The 23,839-nt window shown below is 36.4% G+C and overlaps 1 protein-coding gene across 2 annotated transcripts in view, besides 1 other annotated feature; it reads left to right on the top strand.

Annotated features, from left to right (window-relative positions):
• Positions 1-9,342, top strand: part of CNTNAP3 (contactin associated protein family member 3) — a 223,458-nt gene extending 214,116 nt beyond the window's left edge. For both annotated transcript variants that reach the window (NM_001393379.1, NM_033655.5), the window contains one exon: positions 41-9,342. In NM_001393379.1, coding sequence (NP_001380308.1) covers positions 41-162 — 122 coding nt within the window. In that variant the 3' untranslated portion in view covers positions 163-9,342. The remainder of the gene's footprint in view (positions 1-40) is intronic.
• Positions 19,183-19,383: a silencer, noted in NCBI's record as "peak7241 fragment used in MPRA reporter construct". NCBI's record gives its function as "represses an SCP1 promoter by STARR-seq MPRAs in K562 erythroleukemia cells {active_cell/tissue: K562}" and the evidence as "EXISTENCE:reporter gene assay evidence [ECO:0000049][PMID:32103011]".

Genomic DNA, 23,839 nt, shown 5'->3' with positions numbered 1-23,839 from the left:
AGAAAAAAAATTATGATGTTTTATTCTTTTCTCTCCCTAGGTGTGATAGCAGTGGTGATATTTATTTTGCTTTGCATCACTGCCATAGCCATACGCATCTATCAACAGAGAAAGTTACGCAAAGAAAATGAGTCAAAAGTCTCAAAAAAAGAAGAGTGCTAGGACAGCTCTAAACAGTGAGCTCGATGTGCAAAACGCAGTCCATGAAAACCAGAAAGAGCGAGTCTTCTGATTGGCAGCTGTGGCTGTCTCTATCATCGTGACTGTGGACTTCCCTGCTGTTGCCATCAGGGTGCACACAAGCAGGTGCAGTGCTGTCACCTGGCTGAAGACCTGCAGCCTCGGAGCCTCTGGGAGGTCCCTTTCTCCCTCGGTGAAACACAGTCCTCCACATCAATTTCCAAACAATGAATTAGGTATGGCCATTCATCACTGTTCAGTAGTTTCCCCGTCCAAAGGCTCTCTTCCAAAACTGCAGTTTGATCTGTGTTAATAATTGTGGGGTTTTAGATGAGAAAATGGCTATAAAGCTGTGGCCCTACTTTATTTTTTAAAAATGACAGAACTTTTGTTCAGATGTAAAAGACAAAATTGCACTTTAATGTTTTTTGTTACTTGAAAACATATCTGGGATCCCTTTTTTTGGTCCTCTGCTGATATTTATAAAACAAGAAATGCTTCTTGGACTACCTTCACTGGCATTTCCATAGTCCTGGAATCCAGAGCCAAGTGGCCTATCTAAAATTCACAGCCCTTTTATTCTCCTGTGTGATGGTTAATACAACACAGTTGAAGCCTGGAAACACTACCATTATTTTTGGTGTATTGCTTTTTCTAATTGACTGTTTTTAATGATTTTGATACATTTTAATGTTGAAATTAATATTGAATGTTAGCTATGAAATTTTAGTATTGAATTTTATAATGGAACAGAACATTGGTAGGTAACAAGATGCAAGAGGATGTCAATACAAGATTGTCTGCCTGTTTTTCTTTGTAATTTGTAATTACAGTTTTTGTAACTTGTGATTATGTTTTTAACTAAATTTACCACCAGATACAAACAATACTTCTTACACAGAGTTATCCTTTATTTATATCATTAAGACGTGAATGAAACATCATCCTAACTTACTTCCCCAAGATATTGAGAGGTCATATCTGTTTTTCTTTATCATTCATTTCTTTTTCTAAAAGTTGTTACTGATATGCTTTTGATTTCCTATGACTCTATTATGTTGTACAGAACATCTTTTCAATTTATTAAAAAAATAGCTTAACTGAAGATCACTAATTCCTTTTCTAAATTTTGAACTGCTCTAGGCATAAATATCATTGTGTATTATCCTTTCATCTAATCACTTTTGGAATGTAAACTGAAGACTGTTCACTCCAAGTTAAGTTAGCATTTACATGATGTTTATTAAATCTGCCAGTCTGATCACAGGTTTATGACCATGGGGCCAAATTCCCATAGATTACCCAAAATTGAATATGTGCAGTTAACTGGAACATGTCTCATTAAGGTTTACATACACACTAAGACAGCAAAGGATTGGAATTAACTTTATGGAGACAGTTCCAGGGACTAGTATTGAAGCAGTGGTTATTTGATAATGCATGGAACCACCATTTGGATTCAATAAACCAATTACATAAAAGCAATGATGCTACACTCTTCATATTCCAGATACCAACTGCCTACCAAGGACTAATGAGATGGTATATTTCTTCCACATCAGGGCAAGCTGAAAATATATTGATTCAGCGTTACTGTTACGTAAATGAATTTCCATCTTGTTATGGAAATTCGTATGTGTTATTTTTGAAAGAATGAATACACTCTCTGTCTTAAATCCGCTCTTAACAAATGATCTCTTCTCAGAATACTACATCTGTATTGAGAGTACAGACAGCCCATTGGTCACTGCACCTTTTGCAAGACAGCGAAACGGATGCATCAAATTGCATTGATACATCATCACCATCAATCTTTTGCACTGATTTTTAGACTTAATCTTCTTATTTGAAAATAAACTCATTTTTAAATAAAATAAAAAATATTTTAGGGAAAGCTCTATAAAATTAAAATTACAGAATTATATGCTTTTTAAAATTTATGCAAAAATGTGCAGACAAATGTATTCTGTATTGGTTTATGTATCACTTTGCCCTTGTATATTTTGAGATTATTAAGATTTGTTGACTTTTTTGGTTTGATATTTATCATCTGTTAAATTTTTCCTTTTAAATTATTAAATGCAAAGTGCAAGAAAAAGAGATAAATATTTACTGATTGCTAGATGTAAAAATATCTATGAATATATATATTTAAACTTCTGCCAAAGAGCAACCATCTAACAGTCAACTTACTAAAATCTAAATTGAGTACTTTTTACTGTTGCAGAGAATTAAGTCACTAAACGTTATTTAGATACATAGATGCTAGTTGCAAGTAACACCCTTTTGTAACATAAAAGTAAAAGCATAATAATTTCCCAACTTTTTTCTTCAAATTAAAAAAGAAAATAGCATATAATTACCATTCTTCATTTGAGAAAGCTGAAGATTCTGATGCTTAAAAACTTCAGAATTCTAATATTAAAAATAGAGTGGTTCATGTGACATTGAAGGCTTATCTCTGTAAAATAGTGACACTGGTGAGTGGTATTATCTCAATATTTTTGTCCAAATTCACCTTAGGAAATCACTGTAAATCTTCATTGTTTACTAAAAGTCATTATTACGGCATAAACTTAACATACTTTGATAGTAGTTACTACTGATACGTGACATATTCTACCCCGTGTCTCTATTACTCTGTCTCTATTACTGTGAAAAGTCACAGTAAATTTAACATTTTCTTCCAGACTGTGTATGATCTTTCATTGTAATAGAGACATGGAGTAGGATAAGTCATGTATTAACATGTAAGATTTTTTTAACCTGCTCCCTCAGTTTTATAGATGAGACAAAGATAAGGTTGTAAGAGCTAATCTCTTCAAGTAGGCAGTACTAGTAAGTTGTCATGCGTGGACTGAACTCCTGGCACTTCTCTCTCTTAACTTCAATCCATAGAGAAGCCCACCTTCCTGCCTTCCCAGTATTATTTAGCAGAGGAGAAAATCATATTAGGCTGTTTGATACTGTTTGCCTAGACTGACCAATAATTCTGGATCTTTGTTCACATCTTCTCTGAAAGAATATTTGATGGGAAATCTTTTTTATTTTTTAATTTTTGTGTACATACTAGGTGTATATATTTATGGAGTACATGAAATGTTTTGATACAGGCATGCACTGTGAAATAAGCACATCATGGAGAATGGGGTATCCATCCCCTCAACATTTATCCTTTGTGTTACAAACAACCTGATTACACTCTGTATTTTAAAATATGCAGTTAAGTTTTTATTGACTATAGTCACCCTATTGTGCTATCATATAGTAAGTTTTACTCATTCTTTCTACTTTTTTTGTACCCATTAACCTATCCCCACCTCTGCCCCACCATTATCTCAGCTGTCTACTACTTTTTTCAGCCTTTACTAACCATCCTTCTACTCTATATCCATGAATTCCGTTGTTTTGATTTTTAGATCCCACAAATAAATGAGAACATGGCAATGTTTGTCTTTCTATGCCTGGCCTATTTCACTTAACATAATGACCTCCAGTTCCATCCATGCTGTCGCAAGTGACAGGATCTCATTCTCTTTTATGGCTGAAGAGTACTCCATTTTGTATGTGAACCACATTTTCTTCATTCATCTGTTGATGAACACTTAGGGTGTTTCCAAATCTTAGCTGTTATAAACAGTATTGCAACAAATAAAAGAGTGCAGATGGAAAATTGATTTTGATGGCTTTTTTCTTTAATAAAACATTAATTTCTTCATGTATAACTGGAAGGCAAACAAATGATCCATTTGCTTAGTTTATTCTTGAATCCATAATATAAGTAACAGAAATGGATTATTAAAATATACTTGAATTTGGGGAAGAATGATATGGACACATTTTAAATCAAAACATGATGAATTGGCTGTTTAACCTACTACCTCATTGGCCAATCTGGGGCAAGATGAAAGTATTTGTAAACACTGTTTTGGCAATTATGTGTAAAGAGAGAACCAATTTTTTAATTAAAAAATTGAATTCTAAGAATTACAGAGCTTTTCTATTGGTAAAGACATTAAATATCATAGAGTCCAACGCTTTTCTCTTCCTTCACATCACTCCCAATGGATGTAGCTCAGGCTAAGTTCATTGCTGATGTGTTGTCAGAACAGCCACTCACGGTTTAAGTTGGTATACTTAAGTGCAAATGTAACCTTAAGAAGGTTACATAAAGTTGCCATTACTAGGAGTAGTAGCAGAATTTATTATGGATTAATCATATCGTCGGGAAAATGTACTGAAGCACTACTTCCTGTGGTATTTTTTTTACAAAATGATAACATAGTTTATTGCCTATAGGTTATGACCTAAAATTATATTTTTGCATTTTATTGTGCCATTATATATTTTAAAATGTGAGGTTCACATGGTTGCATTTGCTCTGTGAATAAAAATGTTTAAAATCATAAGATGAACTTTTAGATTTTGCGATATGAAAATTTCTAACTTAGCTAGCTTGTGATGGTACCTAAAAATTTAAGAAAGCCCTTAAAATAGAACCTCTGTGACTGCATGAGCACTTTGTATGACTCATATCACATTTTAACTCCTTAAGCAAGCCAATGAGGTAAAACATATAATTGTCCCCATTTTTGCAAAATTCACAAAGGCCTTCACTGCTTTGAGAAAACATTACACAGATAATTACTGACAAAAATGGGTTAGAATGCAGGTCCTGAGATGTCTAGTTCCTGACCAATTCTACAGGTTGCCTTGCTCCCATAATATGCTCCAATCTACAATGTTCATCTTAATCTGCAGTGAGTAAACATAATTGATAGCTAAATTTACTTCTTGTTCCAAATCTTTAGGATATGATTCATGTGTGTTATATACATACATATATATATGTGTATGTGTGTTTATACTTACATATATTTCTTTTTCTTATTTTACTTCTGGCTAAGATGGAGTAATAGGGAGCATATTTACCCTCTAACCCTCCTGCATGAAACAACCTCAAACCAGACAAAATATATGAAACTATGGTTTTCAGTACACTGGACATGAGGCACGGAATGTAATCCCTGAAAGACAGGAAACATAAGATGTGTGCTGTGAGTATCCCAGCTTACAACTTGAGAGAATTTGAGACAGCAGTGACAATGGAGATAGATAGCTTAAGGAAGCCTAGCAAGTCTCTGAATGGAGTAGCTGTTGCTGAGAGTTCAGGTACACGAAGGTGGCTAGAGATTGCAGGATAGAGTACCGGCGAGGAAAGAGCTGCATTGGAGAAAACTTTGCAAATCTGGAGAGGGTCGCCCTTCAGTGTGTAACAAAGTGCATGAAACTACCTGAGGCAAGGGAAAGAAACACTCAAAAGAATTACAGCGGCATTTATCAACCTTTAAAAAATTATTATTGACCTCAAGGAATCTTTTTAAACATCTTTTCTAGTCACCTCTCTATGAATTTTTTAATTTTTATTTAATTTAATTTAATTTTATTTTATTTTTGAGACGGAGTCTTGCTCTGTCGCTCAGGCTGGAGTGCAGTGGCGCGATCCTGGCTCACTGCAAGCTCCGCCTCCAGGGTTCATGCCATTCTCCTGCCTCAGCCTCCCGAGTAGCTGGGACTACAGGCACAAGCCAACATGCCCAGCTAATTTTTTTTTTTTTTTTTTTTTTTGTATTTTTAGTGGAGGCAAGGTTTCACCGTGTTAGCCAGGATGGTCTCGATCTCTGGATCTCATGATCTGCCCACCTCAGCCTCCTAAAGCGCTGGTATCACAGGCGTAAGCCACTGCGCCCGCCCTGAAATTTTAATATCGCACATGCACTGCATATCTCTTTAGTACTATACGTATATCTGGGCTTTACACAAAAAGAATATTTTTCTTCTCTTCACTTCTCCCATCCCCCCCAAAAAAACTAATTTCTGTCGTTTTGGGGACAATATTACTCTCACTGAGAGTGCATGTTCACATACAACCATGAATAGAGGTGGTTGCCATGGGCTATACCAGAAATCCCCATAATTAATAGGGCATTAGGTAGAATATTCATAGGGGTCTTGCCTCAGTCCTGGCAAGTCCTAGACCATGTATTACTATGGCGGCCCCACTGAACAAATCTTCAAAGATTTGGAAAAAAAGATCAAACCGTTTCCAATAACTAATTGGCATCTCTGAGCAAAGTTCACATGTATTTCCAGTAACATAAAACTATCCAACACCAGGCCGGGCACAGTGGCTCATGCCTGTAATCCCAGCACTTTGGGAGGTCGAGGCAGGCAGATCACGAGGTCGGGAGATGGAGACCATCCTGCTAACAAGGTGGAAACCCCGTCTCTACTAAACATACAAAAATTAGCCGGGCGTGGTGTTGGGCGCCTGAAGTCCCAGCTACTCGGGAGGCTGGGGCAGGAGAATGGCATGAACCCGGGAGGCAGAGTTTGCAGTGGGCCGAGATTGCGCCATTGCACTCCAGCCTGGGCAACAGAGCCAGACTCCATCAAAAAAAAATCCAACACCCAACGAGGTAAAATCACAATGTCTGGTATACAATAAAAAATTACCAAGTGTGTGAAGAGGCAGAAAAATAGGACCTATAATGAGGATAAAAATCAATCTAAAATGACCCAGCACATACCCAGATGTTAGAATTACTAATGAAAAATATTATGACTATATTCCGTATTTTCAAAGATTAGGATGTGACAAGAAAAGGCTTTAATTAAACTTCGAGAGATGACAATGTTAATGTATAAGATTAAAAAATACAATGGATGTAATTAATGGCAGATGAGAGTTTTCAGAAGAAAATATTAATAAACTTGAATATATATAGCAGTAGAAAGCATCCAAAATGAAACAGAGACAGAAAAAAAACAAAGAATAATCAGAGTATCGGTGATCTGTGGGACAACTTCAGTTGCCTAATCTGTGTGTATTTGGAGTTCTCAAAGGAGAAAAGAGAGTGGATGGATAGAAAAAAATATTTTTAAAAATTAATACATAAGCATTTTCCACATTTGATGCAAACTATAAACCCACAGACCCAGCTCAACATCCCCAAGTAGGGGTGCTATTAAGAAAACCACATCACAACACATCATAAGCAAATGGATCAAAACTCAGTGTGGTAAAGAGAAAAAGACAAGTCTTACACAGAGAAGAAAAACAAGGATGATACCAGACTTCTTTTTGGAAGCAATGCAAGGGGAAGGGCAGTGGAGCAACATCTTTCATGCTTCCAGTGAAACATCTTCCAACCAAAAGCAGAAAACTCTCTCTCCTAGGTTTCTATACCCAGCAAAACCGTCTTTCAAGAAAGGATGAAACAAAGATATTTTTCAGACATAGAAAAGTTAAAAGTAATATATTATCAGCAAACCTGGACTATGAGAACAGTGTAAAAGCCTTTCAGGAAGAAGGAAAATAAAGAATAATATCTTTGTGCAGATAGAAACATGGATCCACACAAAGAAATGAAGAGCACTGGCAATAGTAACACCATAAGTAAATATACAATACCTGCCCTTATTACTTAAATATCTTTTAAAGATAATTGGCTGTTTAGAAATAATAGCAGTGTCATGTGAGTTCTGCAGCATGAGTAAAAGTAAAATATATGACAACAATAACCTAGAGTAAATGGAAATATAGTTTAGTTTGTAAGGTTCTTAGACTGTGTGTAAAGTCGTATAATGCCTATTAAAAGTTGGCTATTACAAGTTATCTTTAAGTTAAAACATCTGTATGGTGTAATCCCTAAAGCAAATGCTAGAGTAACAAAAACAGTGATAATATTACAATATTACACAATAATATTACAATGCAGCGATGAAATAGAATAAATTTTTAAATGCTTGAAAGTAGACAAAAAAGATGAGAAAGAGGACAAAGAACAAATGGGACAAATAGAAAGCAAATAGCAAGATATAAAATAAAAATCTGATAAATTTGACCTTAAGATTAACAACTCTCCTTTTAAAATACATTGTTAAGAGAATAAGAGTCAAGCTACAGACTGGGAGAAAATATTTGCAACACTTTATTTGAATGCTGTAAATTTTTTTCAGAATATAGTTCATAAAGAACTCTTAACAACTCAATAATTAGCAAAAATAAAATGAAAATAATGAATATAAGAAAAAATGACGAAAAGTGCTAGGCCAGTGGACAAAAAGCACACAAAAATGTTCAATATCGTTTTGTCATTAAGGAAATGCAAATTAAAACCACAGTGAGTTATTCTTCCCACTAAAATGGTTATGATTAAAAATATTGTCAGTACCACGTGTTGTTGAGAATATGGAGCAATTATAATTCTCATACATTATTGTTGGAATGTAAAATGCTACAACCACTTAGGAAAAATTGTTTAACATTGTTTTATATAATTAAGCATACATGAAACCTATGACCCAACAATTCCAATCCTAGATTGAAAAGAAATGAAAACTTATGCCCATTATAAGACTTACACAAGAACGTTTATAGCATCTTTACTTATAATATCCCCAAACTGTAAACTGCCTAAAAGACCTTCAACAAGAAAATGGACAAACAATTTGTGTTGTATTAATAATGAAATACTCTTCAGCTATAAAATGGACAAAACTACTGGTAACTGCAACAAACATGGCTGAATCTAAAAAACCTTGTGTTGAATGAATAAATCTAGACACTATAGGGTACATTCTGAAGTCCTAGAACAAGCGAAACTAAGATATAGCAGTAGAAATTGTATCAGTAGTTACCTGGGTTGAGGTGGGATGGGAGTTGACTGCAGAGAAACACAAGGGAAGTTTCTGGAGTGATGGAAATGTTCTATGTCTTGATTGACTATGGTTACATTGGTGTGGACATTTGTCAAAACTCTGAATTTCATATTTGGAATTTGTATATTTTGTATATAAATTATACTTCAATAAATATGTACATGTATATATATGTGTATATATAATACATTTTGATATGTCATGATGTCTATCACTTCACAGCATATTATATTTCTATCATACCATATTTACATAATGGAAAAAGATGAAAAGGATGCTGTATTTTGGGGAAATCACAAGAGATTATCACCTTTATTTATTTTTTATACAAATACATATAAATCTTTCACAGTACAATACAAATGTCAAAATGTGGTATTTTCATTGCTCTATAAATTCTTATATGTTCTATGTATGTAATAAATGTTAAAAACAGTGTTTATATGTTGTATATGTTTATTTGTTCTATGTGTTTACATGTTCACTGTTCTATAAATTCTCATATATTGTATACTATACAATCAGGTGATGAGCTGCTCAGTAAATAAGTGCTGAACACTCTGCATCCCTCATCACGTCAAGCATTTCACATCCCTTTTCCTGTAGGCTTCCACAGTAGACATTTGACTTGCCAATTACATTTTCATCCATCATTCTGGAGAAGCCTGGAGAAACAGCTAGACACAGGGGACATACTCCTATACCTTGCTCATTGTGCCTTGGAATTATACATATTGAAATATTGTAAAGATTTGCTTCATTTGTATCAACATGGCTGTGAAATTAGATGTCAACTCTACCTCAGTTCCAACTTTTAGGAGGAATCCAGATAGTTTATTAGAAAATAGAAGTGCAAAAATGTTTGCTGTTTGATTCTCAGACCATAGCCTGAGATTAGCAATATTAAAAAAAAAAATAGCAGACAGAAGAGGCCCAAGTCTCTCCCAGCTCCTGGGATGCATGGAAGCAATGGGCTGTGATGTCCTACTGAGGTAAAAGAAGTAGTGTTTGTTATAGTCCCACGAGCAGAAGCAGTAAGAACTTGAGGTAGGGTGCACCTAAAACTGAGAACAAGGGAAAGCTGAAGTAGGAAGTGTCACCAGGGAGGGACTATGGGTCCTTACTATGCGAAGAGAGAAAAGGATTTAATTAGGTCCAACAGAATATAATGCCATTTCAAAAACATTTTCTGTTAGGACAGTTTCCAGAGACTCTAAGTGGTTGTTTTTTGTGTGATGATTTTTGAGCTTGGTAGAATTTTTCTAGTCTGACTGGATCAGTTCTAGAAAGCTGCTCAGATGAATATGCAATGAATGCTTTCTCTCTTCACATACTTCTCAGTTAGAAGGAGAATATTTCAGGCCAAAAGGATGCAAGACCGTAGTTATATATGCCACAATCAGATCAGTGATTTTAATTTGCCCACCCTAAAGAAATATGAGTATATACCACTCTAAAGAAATCTGTCTTTCTAACATGTCTATCACTTTCTTCAATGATTCCATAGCAAACAGTTAATGAAAAACAACAATAATAGCACATGTATTAATCTTCACCACTTGTAATTTTCCAAGGAATTTAGACAGATCTATTGCAAAAAAATTCATCAATTCTTATGTTCTTTCCAAATAGTTTTTGCACTAAATGATATTATTCAACATTTCTCCATGTCTACCTGTACCTTCAGACCCTCACTAAATCCAATTAACCAAAACCCAAATTGGTTAGTGATGTTAAGCATTTTATGTCATATATGTCTTCTTTTTATTTTATGCTTATATGTCTTCTTTTGAGAAACATCTGTTCATGTCCTTTGCCCAGTTTTTAATGGGATTTTTTTTCTTACTGAGTTGTTTGAGTTCTTTATTAAAAAAATGCTCAGTATCACGAATCATCGGAGAAATGCAAATCAAAACCAAAATGAGATATCATATTACACTAGTCAAGATGGCTATTACTAAGAAGTCATAAACAACAGATGTTGGCAAGGATGTGGAGACAAAGGAACTCTTATACACTGTTGGTGGAACTATAAATTAGTAAAAACTCTAAGGAAAACAGTATGGAGATTTCTCTAAGAACTAAAAATGGAACTACCGTTCGACCCAGCAGTCCCACTACTGGGCATCTACCCAAAGGAAAAGAAATCATTATATTAAAAAGACGCCCACACTTGTATGTTTATTGCGGCACTATTCACAATAGCAAAGTCATGGAATCAATCTAAGTGTTGCTTGGATAAAGAAAACTTGTGGTAAATATACACTATGGAATACTATGCAGCCATAAAAAGAATAAAATCATGTCCTTTTCAGCAACATGGATGGAGCTGAAAGCCATTATTCTAAGTGAAGTAACTCAGAAAATTAAATACTGCATGTTCCCACTTACAAGTGGGACCTAAACAAAGAATACACATGGACATAAAGATGGAAATAACAGACATAAAATAGGCCTTTTTCAGCCGGGCGCGGTGGCTCAAGCTTGTAATCCCACCACTTTGGGAGGCCGAGGCAGGTGGATCACGAGGTCAGGATATCGAGACCATCCTGGCTAACACGGTGAAACCCTGTCTCTACTAAAAATACAAAAAAAAAAAAAAAAAAAAAGATCAGCCAGGCTTGGTGGCGGGCTCCTGTAGTCCCAGCTACTCGGGAGACTGAGGCAGGAGAATGGCGTGAACCCCGGAGGCGGAGCTTGCAGTGAGCGGAGATCGCGCCACTGCAGTCCAGCCTGGGCGACAGAGCGAGACTCCGTCTCAAAAAAAAAAAATAAGCCTTTTTCTTTAACCAATACAACATCACTATTTCTACTGCAAGTGTTTCAAAAACATCTGTGCTATTTTGAAATATACCAAGTTTAAAACTGTCACAAGAAAAATGTCTTTGCGGCCGGGCGTGGTGGGTCACACCTGTAATCCCAGCACTTTGGGAGGCCGAGGCGAGCGGATCACGAGGTCAGGAGATCGAGACCATCCTGGCTAACATGGTGAAACCCCGTCTCTACTAAAAATACAAAAAAAAACAAAAATTAGCCGGGCGGGGTGATGGGCGCCTGTAGTCCCAGCTACTCGGGAGGCTGAGGCAGGAGAATGGCGTGAACCCTGGAGGCGGAGCTTGCAGTGAGCCAGGATCACGCCACTGCACTCCAGCCTGGACGACAGAGCGAGACTCCGTCTCAAAAAAAAAAAAAAGAAAGAAAGAAAGAAAGATAAATGTCTTTGCTATCTTTCCCAGGTCTCCAGCTGCCTCCACACTGGCGTAAGAAACACTGGAGGAAAAATGACCGCCTCACAGTAGTTTAAGCTGTTCTTTTGCCCATAGATGTACACATTTAAACTTGCTCCTAGCTCTCCAAGATCGCTTATTCGCTGATATGTTGCAATGACAACAAAATACAACTTCTGTTTGATTAAAAATAAAAGCAAGTAAAACATGTTTTCCCTCACTGGGTTCTGAGTTGATTAAATCCAGCTTATCATTGATGTTTTAAAATTGAGGTTATATTATATAGTTTAATTTTCAAAAGAGACTTTGATATATGGAAAATGTAAGCCAAGGAAAATAAAAATATGAAAATTCAGAAATACCATTGCTAGCTCATCACATATGTTTATTTAAATTTGGTTAGTATGCTGGAGAGAATTTGGGATTGAATTCAATTCTTTGTGCTATATACAAAATAAATTTACTAGCAGTTAGATGGAATTGGCTTAGAAACCTAATCCTATATGTAAATATTATAAAAAATTTTAATTCCAAAGTAGCTCAATAAAAAGAACTGGGCTTTGAAATCAACATGCTGGATAAATAGACAACTACTGTAGTTAATTCTAAATAAGCATCCTTACAGCAAAGAGATACACATTTTTACAAGGCTCTTTCTCTCAACTTTGGAAATAACAAGTATCTTTAAATTGCCATTGTCAGTATCTCTTCAGTAGATGCCCCTTGGCAGGGTGTGCTCTGCACTTCTCCGCTGTGATTATGTCTAGAGGAATTGCATCAGGATGGACAAGAATGGTTGTGTGGAAAAAGAATTTAGATTTGCTGTGAAAAATGGACTCCACAATGGATCTTCTGGGTTGATTAGTTAAGCAATTGAAACACGAAACCCAGTGATTTGAAATAACAAAACAAATTGCCTAATTTAGAAATATAATGAAAACACATATATTATTCAAAGACATGTTGCAACAATAGATGGCTAGCTGATGACTAGTTTTTAGTATTTGTAATATAGGGTGTATGTAATTTCTTTTTGAATTTAGCAAAATCCCAGCTTTTTTATATGGTATCTGAGTAAGGAAGATAAACATCTTTTTTTTTGAAATGGAGTCTCGCTCTGTCACCCAGGCTGGAGTGCAGTGGCGTGATCTTGGCTCACTGCAACCTCCACCTCCCAGGTTCAAGCAACTCTCCTGCCTCAGCCTCCCAAGTAGCTGGGATATCTGTATTGGCCAGGCTGGCCTCAAACTCCTGACCTCGTGATCCACCCGCCTCAGCCTCCCAAAGTGCTGGGACCACAGGCGTGAGCCACTGCGCCCGGCCAACATCTTTTTATAGTTTCTGATTTCCAATGTACAATTAAACTCTTGGCTATTAGGAGCATCTATACATCCCCCAACTCAGAGTAACCACTTTAGCTATTCTTAGCCAGTGAAGCCAAAGAACACAGAAGACTGCGCTCCTGTTCTAGTTCTTTTATGTACCTTGTTTTAAGTCTTCCTTGTTCCCCGCTCCCTCTCACCATAAGGACGTGGCTCTGCTGACTTTTCTCTTTAAAACTCTCTATCCTACCCTGCTCCATTCACCTCTTTTATACTAATTAAAGCCTCCTCTTCCTTCTGATCTCAACTTAAGAGACACTGTCTTGAGGCACCTTTCCTTAGCCTTCCAAATCTGGCTCTTTCATAAAACCATCCTACAGATCATCGTTCTTTTTCATCAGCATGGTTGTCTCAATTTGATGACTGATGTGATGATGTGACCGGTGCATGTCTTCAGTGAACTGTCGGAAAGCAGAGCTCGTGTGCACTGGAGAGTGTATTCCTGTGAGTGTATTCCTGTTCCCTTCCAGGTGCGTGTGGATGACCCAGCAGCCAGGTCCAGCACTGGCCTAAGGCTCCAAACTTCTACAGTTAGAAAATTGGCAAAGATACTGATTTAACTTTGGCGCGTTTGTTAGGCTTCTTCTTCTTCTCTTTTTTTTTTTGGATAACACTTTAAATAACATATGATAGAAAATGAGAAGAGTTTAAGGAAAATAATTTTATTAGTGTTTGTGGCCCTTAATGACTTAAGCCCTAAGTAGGGACTTCATAATTTCAAACTTTCAAAAATGTCTTGTAACATGCAGTAAAATGTGTCTTATTCATGAGAGTCATGTCTATTCTAGGCAACTGTTCTCAGTTTCCATGGACAGAGGAAAAATTAGACGTACATATGTTTTATGGGGAGGAATTTGGACTAAACATAAGAAAGAATTACCTGGCCAGGAAGTTGTTGTTCACTATTACATTAACTCATTTTACAGGAATAAAGGAAATAACATGATTTAGGACAAATGTAACCCAGAAAGAGATAATGAATCAGAAGCCCTCCAAGGTTCCTTTGAGATTTGTTTAGCATATGATTATGAGATTTGGTGAAAGTATGTCATTCCCAGTAAGTAGGTGTAATTTAAAATATGTAAGAAGTTCTACATATGTGCTTGGTAATTTTAAGGGTTATTATATATAATCATTACTGAGATCACTACACAGCTATGTCCTGCCAGTAATCCAAAAAGAAAAATCATTCTAGTTGTCATCAATTATATAAGATAATAAAAATAAACTTAAAGTCTTAGGCAATATTTTAGATTTTGCTCAGAAGTACATTTCTTTGTGTTATAATTAATGACCCTCTATGTGTGATTATTCAGATTATTGAAAGTCTTAGTATTAATCATTCATAATAATTAATTTTAAATATTTGAGTAGTCAGTTCTAAAATAATTGAAATCATTAAAACCTGAATGTTATTAAATCAAAATGACTTAGAAATAAAATAATATTATTAAAATAAGGAATTAAAGACTATAAATTTAGACAATGGGGAAATTAGCAGAACCACTTCATGTCTTTGCCTTTATTTGGTAAAGGATAGACTCTTTCATCCAATAACTTTTTTAATTACCATAATTTTGAAAATGTGGGACTTTTTCTTACATCTTACACAGTATATTGCTTGTCTGGCAAATTGAACACGTGGAGAAAAGAAATATCTTTGTCAAAATGAGCGCTTTATGTAGGACACTTTACATTATATTATAAAAATACATTAATAAATAGGTCCATAGTCTGTAGAATATATAATAAATATCCTGAATTAGTTCTTAAGACTAATGAACTTCTTTTGTCCTAATTTTTTTTTTTTTTTTTTTTTTTTTGAGACGGAGTCTTGTTCTGTCACCCAGGCTGGAGTGCAGTGGCCTGCCTGATCTTGGCTCACTGCAAGCTCTGCCTCCCGGGTTCATGCCATTCTCCTGCCTCAGCCTCCCGAGTAGCTGGGACTACAGGTGCCCGCTGCCACGCCCAGCTAATTTTTTGTATTTATAGTAGAGATGGGATTTCACCATGTTAGCCAGGATGGTCTCGATCTCCTGACCTCGTGATCCACCAGCCTTGGCCTCCCAAAGTGCTGGGATTACAGGCGTGAGCCAACGTGCCCGGCCTTGTCCTAATATTTTTATCCGGCAGATGCTATACTTAACACAGCATTGGATTCTTAATGCCATTTGCAATGTAAAATAATAACACCAAACCCCAGTTTTGAGGTGAAATTAGTATAAATGAAGGTACATGGAATATTTGAAATATAACTGCTAATTTCAGCTTATTATTAATTATATATAGTTATTTTAAAGAAGAGCTGAGACTAATAATTTATCATCTCAACTAAGAATGAAGGATGTTTTAAATTCTGCTACCACCAAAGTAAAGTTTTCTGATTTGCCATCTTCTACTAGGGTCCTCCTTGTCTTCAAATTATACCCACTATGATAGTCCCCTTATCATAATCCAGTGGAAAGGGACTGGATTTTACTTTCTCTAAATTGCTAACATCTAGACAGTGGTGTACCACATTTAAATAGCATTCAGTAAATAGATAAATGCATGCATTAATAAAACATTAATATGTCCCCGTTTTTGGCAAATATCTAATAGAAATGTGGAAATTTAGAGGAAGAAATCTACCCTTTGGAACAAATATAATTGGAAATAATAGTCTTTGGATATCTTTATATGGTAATCATAAAATCTCGGGAATTGTCTTAAATGATTTGCATAGATTAAGTCACTGAATCCTCACAGCAACTTTGTGAAGTGAGTTCCTAATATTCCCATTTTATAAATGAAGAGACTGAAGCAGAATTAGTTTAAATAACTTCCCTAGGGTCATTTGTAATCAAACAATCAATGGGCTTGCTACCCAATGTGCATAGAGGCCAATACCATGGCACAGGCTTGAGAAAAGAGAAGCTGTATTGCTGGTTGACTGGCAAGGAGACAGGAGAAAATGCTCAAATCTGTCTCCCTGAGCTGGGGGCTGAGTTGGGTTTTATAGGAATAGGGTAATGAAGTGTTATCTGATTGGGTCTTGTGATGAGATGATGCTGGGAGGCATGATCTGACTGAATCCTGCCATGGGGTACCACAAGGGCTCCATTTGATTGGATCCTGGATCTTGCCATGCAGTGTCCCCTTTTTAATTCAGTCCCACTTCTTGGGCTGAGCACTTAAGTTCCGCCCATCATTGCAAGTTTGGTTCATTTGGGCATGTTCAGGTTATGGGACCTTCAGCCTGGGAGTCCATGGCAACTGAAAAACTATTCATAACTTTTTTACATAAAAGTTGAAGAACCAGACTGGTTTTGTGTGGTTACACATTCACTTAATAAATGACTGAGCTGGAATTTGAACTCAGGCAGTCTGGCTCTTGTCTGACTCCAGCGCCCAATCTCTTAGCCAATATGCACTATTGCCTGTGATAGAGATATTATTTTTGGTTATTGGGATAATGACAGCCAAGGGAATCTACAGAGTATTATTCCACAAAAATAATTCAAAATACAACCAGGTACGGTGGCTCACGCCTGTAATCCCAGCACTTTAGGAGGCCGAGGCGGGTGGATCATGAGGTCAGGAGATCAAGACCATCCTGGCTAACACTTTGAAACCCTGTCTCTACTAAAAATACAAAAAATTAGCCAGGTGTGGTGGTGGGCACCTGTAGTCTCAGCTACTTGGGAGGCTGAGGCAGGAGAATGGCGTGAACCCAGGAGGCGGAGCTTGCAGTGAGCCGAGATCGCGCCACTGCACTCCAGCCTGGGCGACAGAGCGAGATTCCGTCTCAAAAAATAATAATAATAATAGTTCTAAACACATAAAATTTCTCTATAGGATAACTTATTATTTTCTTAATGCTTGACATAATTTATGCCAAATAAGCTCAGTGGTTCAGCAAAAATATTCAGATATTAAGAAATACCATAAATCATTTAACACTGTGTTAAATACATATAATTTAATTGTCCAAAAGTATTTTCCTGAGTGAAAAAATGATGGTGCAAATTTTGGATATCATAAGACAACTTGAAGAAGAGTAGAGTGCAGAAAGAAGTTATATTTTAGGTGGGCTAGAATAACATAACATTTATGCAATAGCCCCAATTTGTGATATAACACTTCATAAAAATGTTCAACAGTTTACAAGTGCTTTATCTGAAAACAATGGAGAATTAATAGCATAAACTGGGAAACTTACTTTATGATTAACAAAGTTTTTTTAATGAAAATGATTAAAAGTAGACTAAATTGTTTTAAGTATTTCTTTTTCATTCAGCATTCAATTGCCAAGTCATTTCATTCACAGTTTTTAAGGATGTTCTGAAAATTCTGCCATAAGACCCAGGAGATGAAATTATTTGCCAAATGTTGATGTATTATGGGAAAAAATGACTCTGTTTACAACTGTAGCCATGTGAAAATTAAAGTTATTTAATCCCAATTTCAATTAGCCAATTACGAGACAAAGGCAAAGAACTAGTGAAATACTACAAAACACTTTTTTGATATATTATACAATTAAGTTATCATTTTGCTCCAATGGATAAGAATAGGGTTGCCATAGGGGTTCATCCTGATGCTAGGAAGCAGACCATAAAATCTAAAATTACTGGTAGAATTTATAGAGCATAGACTCTGACATTAAGATGTAACACAATTTAATTGAGTAGCACAAATATAATTGTCTTGCCTCATGGCTAAGTATCTCTGTAGAACTGCAATTTTAAAAAATGAAACCCAGCCAACAAAGGCAAGTAAAAAGTCCATAAGACTTATGAACTGTGTCAAAGTGAATACAATAGAAGACTCTCAGTCATAATTCTTTAAATCCTTCTAATTCCTTGATATTCAATATCTTTAATTGCCATAAGGCCCTGAGGTTGCTCCCTCTTAGCTCTTAAGCTGACCTCCTACTAATATGTAGCTCTTTGCTGCTTCTCCCTCTTGGTCTTTATTTTCTACAAGCTGACCTCTCAGCCCTTTTCAAATGAAAATTGATCAATTGATCCTATGCTCTTAGAAAACCTGCATCTACTTCAACCCCTTCTCCTGGTCCTATACCTCAAAAGGCCAAGTTCTAGGGGTCTGTAGTCTCTAATAGTGTGATGATATGGCTACCCTGAGAAGCAACATCTCATCCACGAAACCTTGATCAGCATTTTTCTCTGCAAGTGGCATCGCAGGATTGTGAATTGTAAACAGATAAAAGGATTCTTAGTGGTACCTCTGTCAAGCTCATTACACATTCCAGAATCAATCAAGTCTCCTGCTAGCATTTGAAGAATATCACCAAAAAATTGGTAGCTGCGTTGTTTCCTTTGGACATGCAAGTAGATAACTATCAGTAACTACCAATAATAACAGCCAGTCAGCTCAGGCTGCTGTAATAAAATAGCATAGATTGGGCCGGACGCCGTGGCTCACACCTGTAATCCCAGCACTTTTGGAGGCCCTGGCGGGCAGATCACGAGGTCAGGAGATCAAGACCATCCTGGCTAACACGGTGAAACCCAGTCTCTACTAAAAAAAATACAAAAAAAATTAGCCGGGCGTGGTGGCGGGCACCTGTAGTCCCAGCTACTCAGGAGGCTGAGGCAGGAGAATGGCGTGAACCTGGGAGGCGGAGCTTACAGTGAGCTGAGGTCGCACCACTGCACTCCAGCCTGGATGACAGAGCAAAACTATGTCTCAAAAAAAAAAAAAAGAAAAAGAAAAAGAAAAAATAGCATAGATTGGATGGCTTTAACCACAGACATTTATATCTCACAGTTCTGGAGGCAGAGAAGCCTACAATCAAGGTGCTAGTTCATGATCAGGCCTGGCCCCTCGCTTGTGGTCAGCCTCCTTCCCATTGGGCGTCACGTGGCCTTCCCTGAGTGTGTGGGGGATGGCGAGCGATAAGAAGATCTCTGGCTCCTCGTCCTATGAGGACACTAATCTCCTCATGAGGGCCTCCTTCCAGGATCTAACCTAAACCTCATGACCTGTCAGAGGCCCCATCGCCAAATACCATCATATTAGTGGCTAGGGTTTCAACTTAGGAGTTTTAGAGGGACACAGCATTCGGCTCATAACAAACTGTAAATACAGTCAGCTTCACTAGATCACATTTTCTATTTTGAGAGCCCATTTTGAAAATTTTGAAAGCTTTGAGATTTTGAATATGATCAAAAGTACTGAGAACAAAGAAAATTCATTTGGAAAGACAATTGGTAGTCTGCTCACAAATGAATAATCTGGGACACTTAATAATATATCTGAGTTTTGTTCTACGTTAATGAATAATGTAGGTCCTGGCATCATGGAGAATAATTGCACTTTGCTTCTGCAAACTCCTAATAAGTGTTCCGCCAACAGGCAGGAAAGTAGGGTTTTCTATCGCAATGAAATCTGCAGCTTTATGTCTTTAATCGCTGTGGTTTCATAGGAAGGCAGTTCTTTCTATAGGATAAAACTTGAAAAACATGACTGCATTCAGATTTAAGACAAAAAAAAAAACCTAAAATGGAAAGAGTATTAAAACCATGTCAAAGCATATGGTATTGATGCCTCAGTGTTCCCCAGTGTTCCTGAGTTCAACAGAAAGTTCTAGTAAGGTTGACAGATTTCCATCTCAAGAGTCTGCCTTGTCACTGTTCCCAGGGAAGAGTTTTGCATCGAAGATTGGACACATGCAAAAACAACCCAGAATTACATGTGTGTGGCAGGAAGAGGGGACAATGTCCCTGGAGGCGACATCCAACAAATGCGGGATAGCAATCAGTGGACAGGAAGATTCTGAGACACGTTCCATGGGCTGTCTCAGAGAGTCCCCAGAGGGATTAGCTACATAGCAAATAATACCCCACAGTGGTGACTTTTCACATTATAATTTGCCAATGCGTTTATTGAATCCTTTTATCTGTGTCCTCCTAATATGCTCTGGGAAAGAGGTTGAGGTGGCAAATCCCCACAACCCCATTTGAGTTTTTGATAGAACAGCTGCTGTCCACTTCTGATCAACTGAGGCCCTAGAAAAAGCATGTAAGTCCTACTCCCTCACACTTCTGTAGTGTCACATGTATTTGTCCTTATAAACCTGAATCAATCTGGAAATTCATTGCCAAACATAAGGATTCCAGGAAGTCTAACTTTATCTAAAGGACTTTAATGAAATTAATAAAAAGTAGAAACTTTTAAAAATATTGATCTGTAAACTGCTTAGGACAAAATATGTATAAAACTAAACTGAACTATTAAACTTTACATTAAAATCTAGGGAGTAATAAACATCATTTACTATTTAATTTCTCAAATGGAAGTGACATATTGTCATTGATTCGCAACAGTGAGTGTGGTATCAGAATCGTTTCTGGAATCTTTTCAAACTATACCTCCCTGCTGGAAATTCTGTTATATCCTCAAGTTGTGTTTCAGAAGGCAGAAACTATTTCCACAGTGAGGCACTATTTCGGATATATCATCCCTCAAGAGGAATATGTACAGGGAAAAGAGAATATGTACACTTGATAATGAATATATGTTGTCTGATTTAAAAAGTGTGCAGGTTATTAAGTTGGTAAATTAAAGATAATATATTTACCCATTATTTGTTAGTAAAGGTAATTATTTCAAAATTAGAGTTAAAAAGTTTAAATTTATCACCTATTTGAGTATGTTTAACACACACACACGTATATGTATATATATAATTATATCAAGATTAACAGCTTATAAAAATCATTTCGAAATTTTGGTCTTCAAATATAAGTTGTGTGTTTTGGTCAGGATCTTCAATCATTTATGGCAAAGGTTTCTCACTTCTAAGACTTCCTCTTGCTTTGTTTGTTTAAAGTATCATCGCCTATAATAGGTATCCGAAACTAATGTCTAACTTTTGCTGTAATTTCTAGTTTTCTCTAAAATTCTGGGTCTTCCTTTTTTCTTTTCTTTTGTTTTCTTTTCTTCTTTTCTTTTCTCTTCTCTTCTTTTTCTTCCTGTCTCCCATTCTTCTTTCTTTTTGTTGTTTTTGTTTTATAAATTTAAGTTATGAATTCATGGGAATAAAGCTGTTAAATGTTGTTCGTATCTAAAGGTCTTTGGGGTTTCTCAGATAGCTACTGGATAATGCTCTACTCACATTATTCAAGAAGAAATTTGTAAAGTAATTAGATATGTTTGATACTGTCTATATTCTGATTATCTCAACCACTGTATGAGGTCACTAGATCCCATGCCCCAGAGCCTCTGTGCTGTGATTTAGATGCCCAAAAGACTGTGTGTTTGTTAAGCGAACATTACAACAACCCCCAAGTTAGGCACTCCTTTTTTTTTTCTAATTCTCCCAACTTTTATTTTAGGTTCAGGGGGTATATATGCAGGTTTGATACATGGGGAAATTGTGTGTCATGGGGGTTTGATGTGCATATTATTTCATCACTGGAGCAATAAACATAGTACCTGATAAGTAGTTTCTTAATCCTCACTCTACTTTCACCTTCCGCCCTCAAATAGGTCCTATGTCTTGTCCCCTGCTGTGTGTCCATGCATATTCAATGTTTAGCTTCCACTTATAAGTGATAACATTTGGTATTTGGTTTTCTGTTGCTGTGTTAATTCACGTAGGATAATGGCCTCTAGCTGCATTCATGTTGCTGCAAAGAACATGATTTCATTCTTTTTTATGGCTGCGTAGTATTCCATGGTGTATATGTACCATGTTTTCAACTGCTGATGGTCATTTAGGTTGATTCCATGTCTTTGCTATTGTGAATAGTGCTGCAGTGAACATAGATGAGCATGTATCTTTATGATGGAATGACTTACAGTTCTTGGGGTACATACCCAGTAATGGGATTGCTGGATAGAATGGTAGCTCTGTTTTAAGTTCTTTTATAAATTGTCAAACTGTTTTCTACAGTGGCTGAACTAATTTACATTCCCACCAGCAATATGTAAGTGTTCCTTTCCTGCACGACCTTGCCAGCATCTGTTATTTTCTGACTTTTTAGTAATAGCCATTCTGACTGACGTGAGATGGCATCTCATCGTGGTTTTGTATTTCTCTAATGATTACTGATGTAGAGCGTTTTCTTCATATGCTTGTTGGCCATGTGTATGTCTTCTTCAGAAAAGTGTCTGTTCATGTCTTTTGCCCACTATTTAATGGAGTTGTTTGGTTTTGGCTTGTACATTTGTTTAAGATCCTTATAGATTCTGGGTATTAGACCTTTGTTAGGTTCACAGTTTGCAAATATTTTCTCTCATTCTGCAGGTTGCCTGTTTATTCTGATGTTAGTTTCTTTTGCTGTTCAGAAACTCTTTAGTTTAATTAGGTCCCATTTGTCAATTTTTGTTTTTGTTACAATGGTTTTTGGCATCTTAATCATGAAATCTTTGTCAGGCCTATGTCCAGAATGGTAGTTCCTAGGTTTTCTTCTGGGGTTTTCATAGTTTTAGGTTTTACATGTAAGTCTTTAATTCATCTTGAGTTGATTTTTTTATATAGGATAAGGAAGGAGTCCAGTTTCAATCTTCTGCATATGGGTAGCCAATTATCCCAGCACAATTTATTGAATAGGGAGTCTTTTCCACATTGCTTGCTTTTGTCAACTTTGTTGAAGATCAGATAGTTTTACATGTGTGGCTTTATTTCTGGGTTTTCTGTTCTGCTACATTGGTCTGCTATATGTGTCTGTTTCTGTACCAGTGCCAAGTTGTTTTGGTTACTTTAGCTTGATAGTATCATTTGAAGTTGGGAAATGTGATGCCCCCAGCTTTTTTCTTTCTGCTTAGGATTGCCTTGGGCTCTTTTTTGGTTCCATATGAATTTTAGAATAGTTTTTCCTAGTTCCCTGAAGAATGCCTTTGGAAGCTTGATAGAAATAGTAATTAATCTGTAAATTGCCTTGGGCAGTATGGCCATTCTAACAAAGGTGATTCTTCCTATCCATTAGCATGGAATGTTTTCATATTTGTGTCCTCTCTGATTTTTTTCAGCAGCGTTTTTAATTCTTGTTATAGAGATCTTTCACCTCCCTGGTTAGCTGTATTCCTAGGTAATTTTTGGTGTGAGTATTGTAAATGTGATTGCAATCTTGATTTGCCTCTCACCTTGGATGTTGTTGGTATGTAGAAATGCTACAGATTTTTGTGGAATGATTTTGTATCCTGAAATTTTGCTGAAGTTGTATATCAGATCAATGAGCTATTGGGCAGAGACTATGGGGTTTTCTAGGTGTAAAATCATATCATCTGCAAAGAGAGATAGTTTGACTTCCTGTCTTCTTGTTTGAATGCCTTTTATTTCTTTCTCTTGCTTAATTGCTTTGGCTACGACTTCCA

The sequence above is a fragment of the Homo sapiens genome, chromosome 9 (assembly GCF_000001405.40).
Source record: "Homo sapiens chromosome 9, GRCh38.p14 Primary Assembly".
NCBI classification, from domain to species: domain Eukaryota; kingdom Metazoa; phylum Chordata; class Mammalia; order Primates; family Hominidae; genus Homo; species Homo sapiens.
The sequence above is the reverse complement of the archived record's forward strand: the minus strand, read 5'-3'. Positions and strand labels throughout refer to the sequence as shown.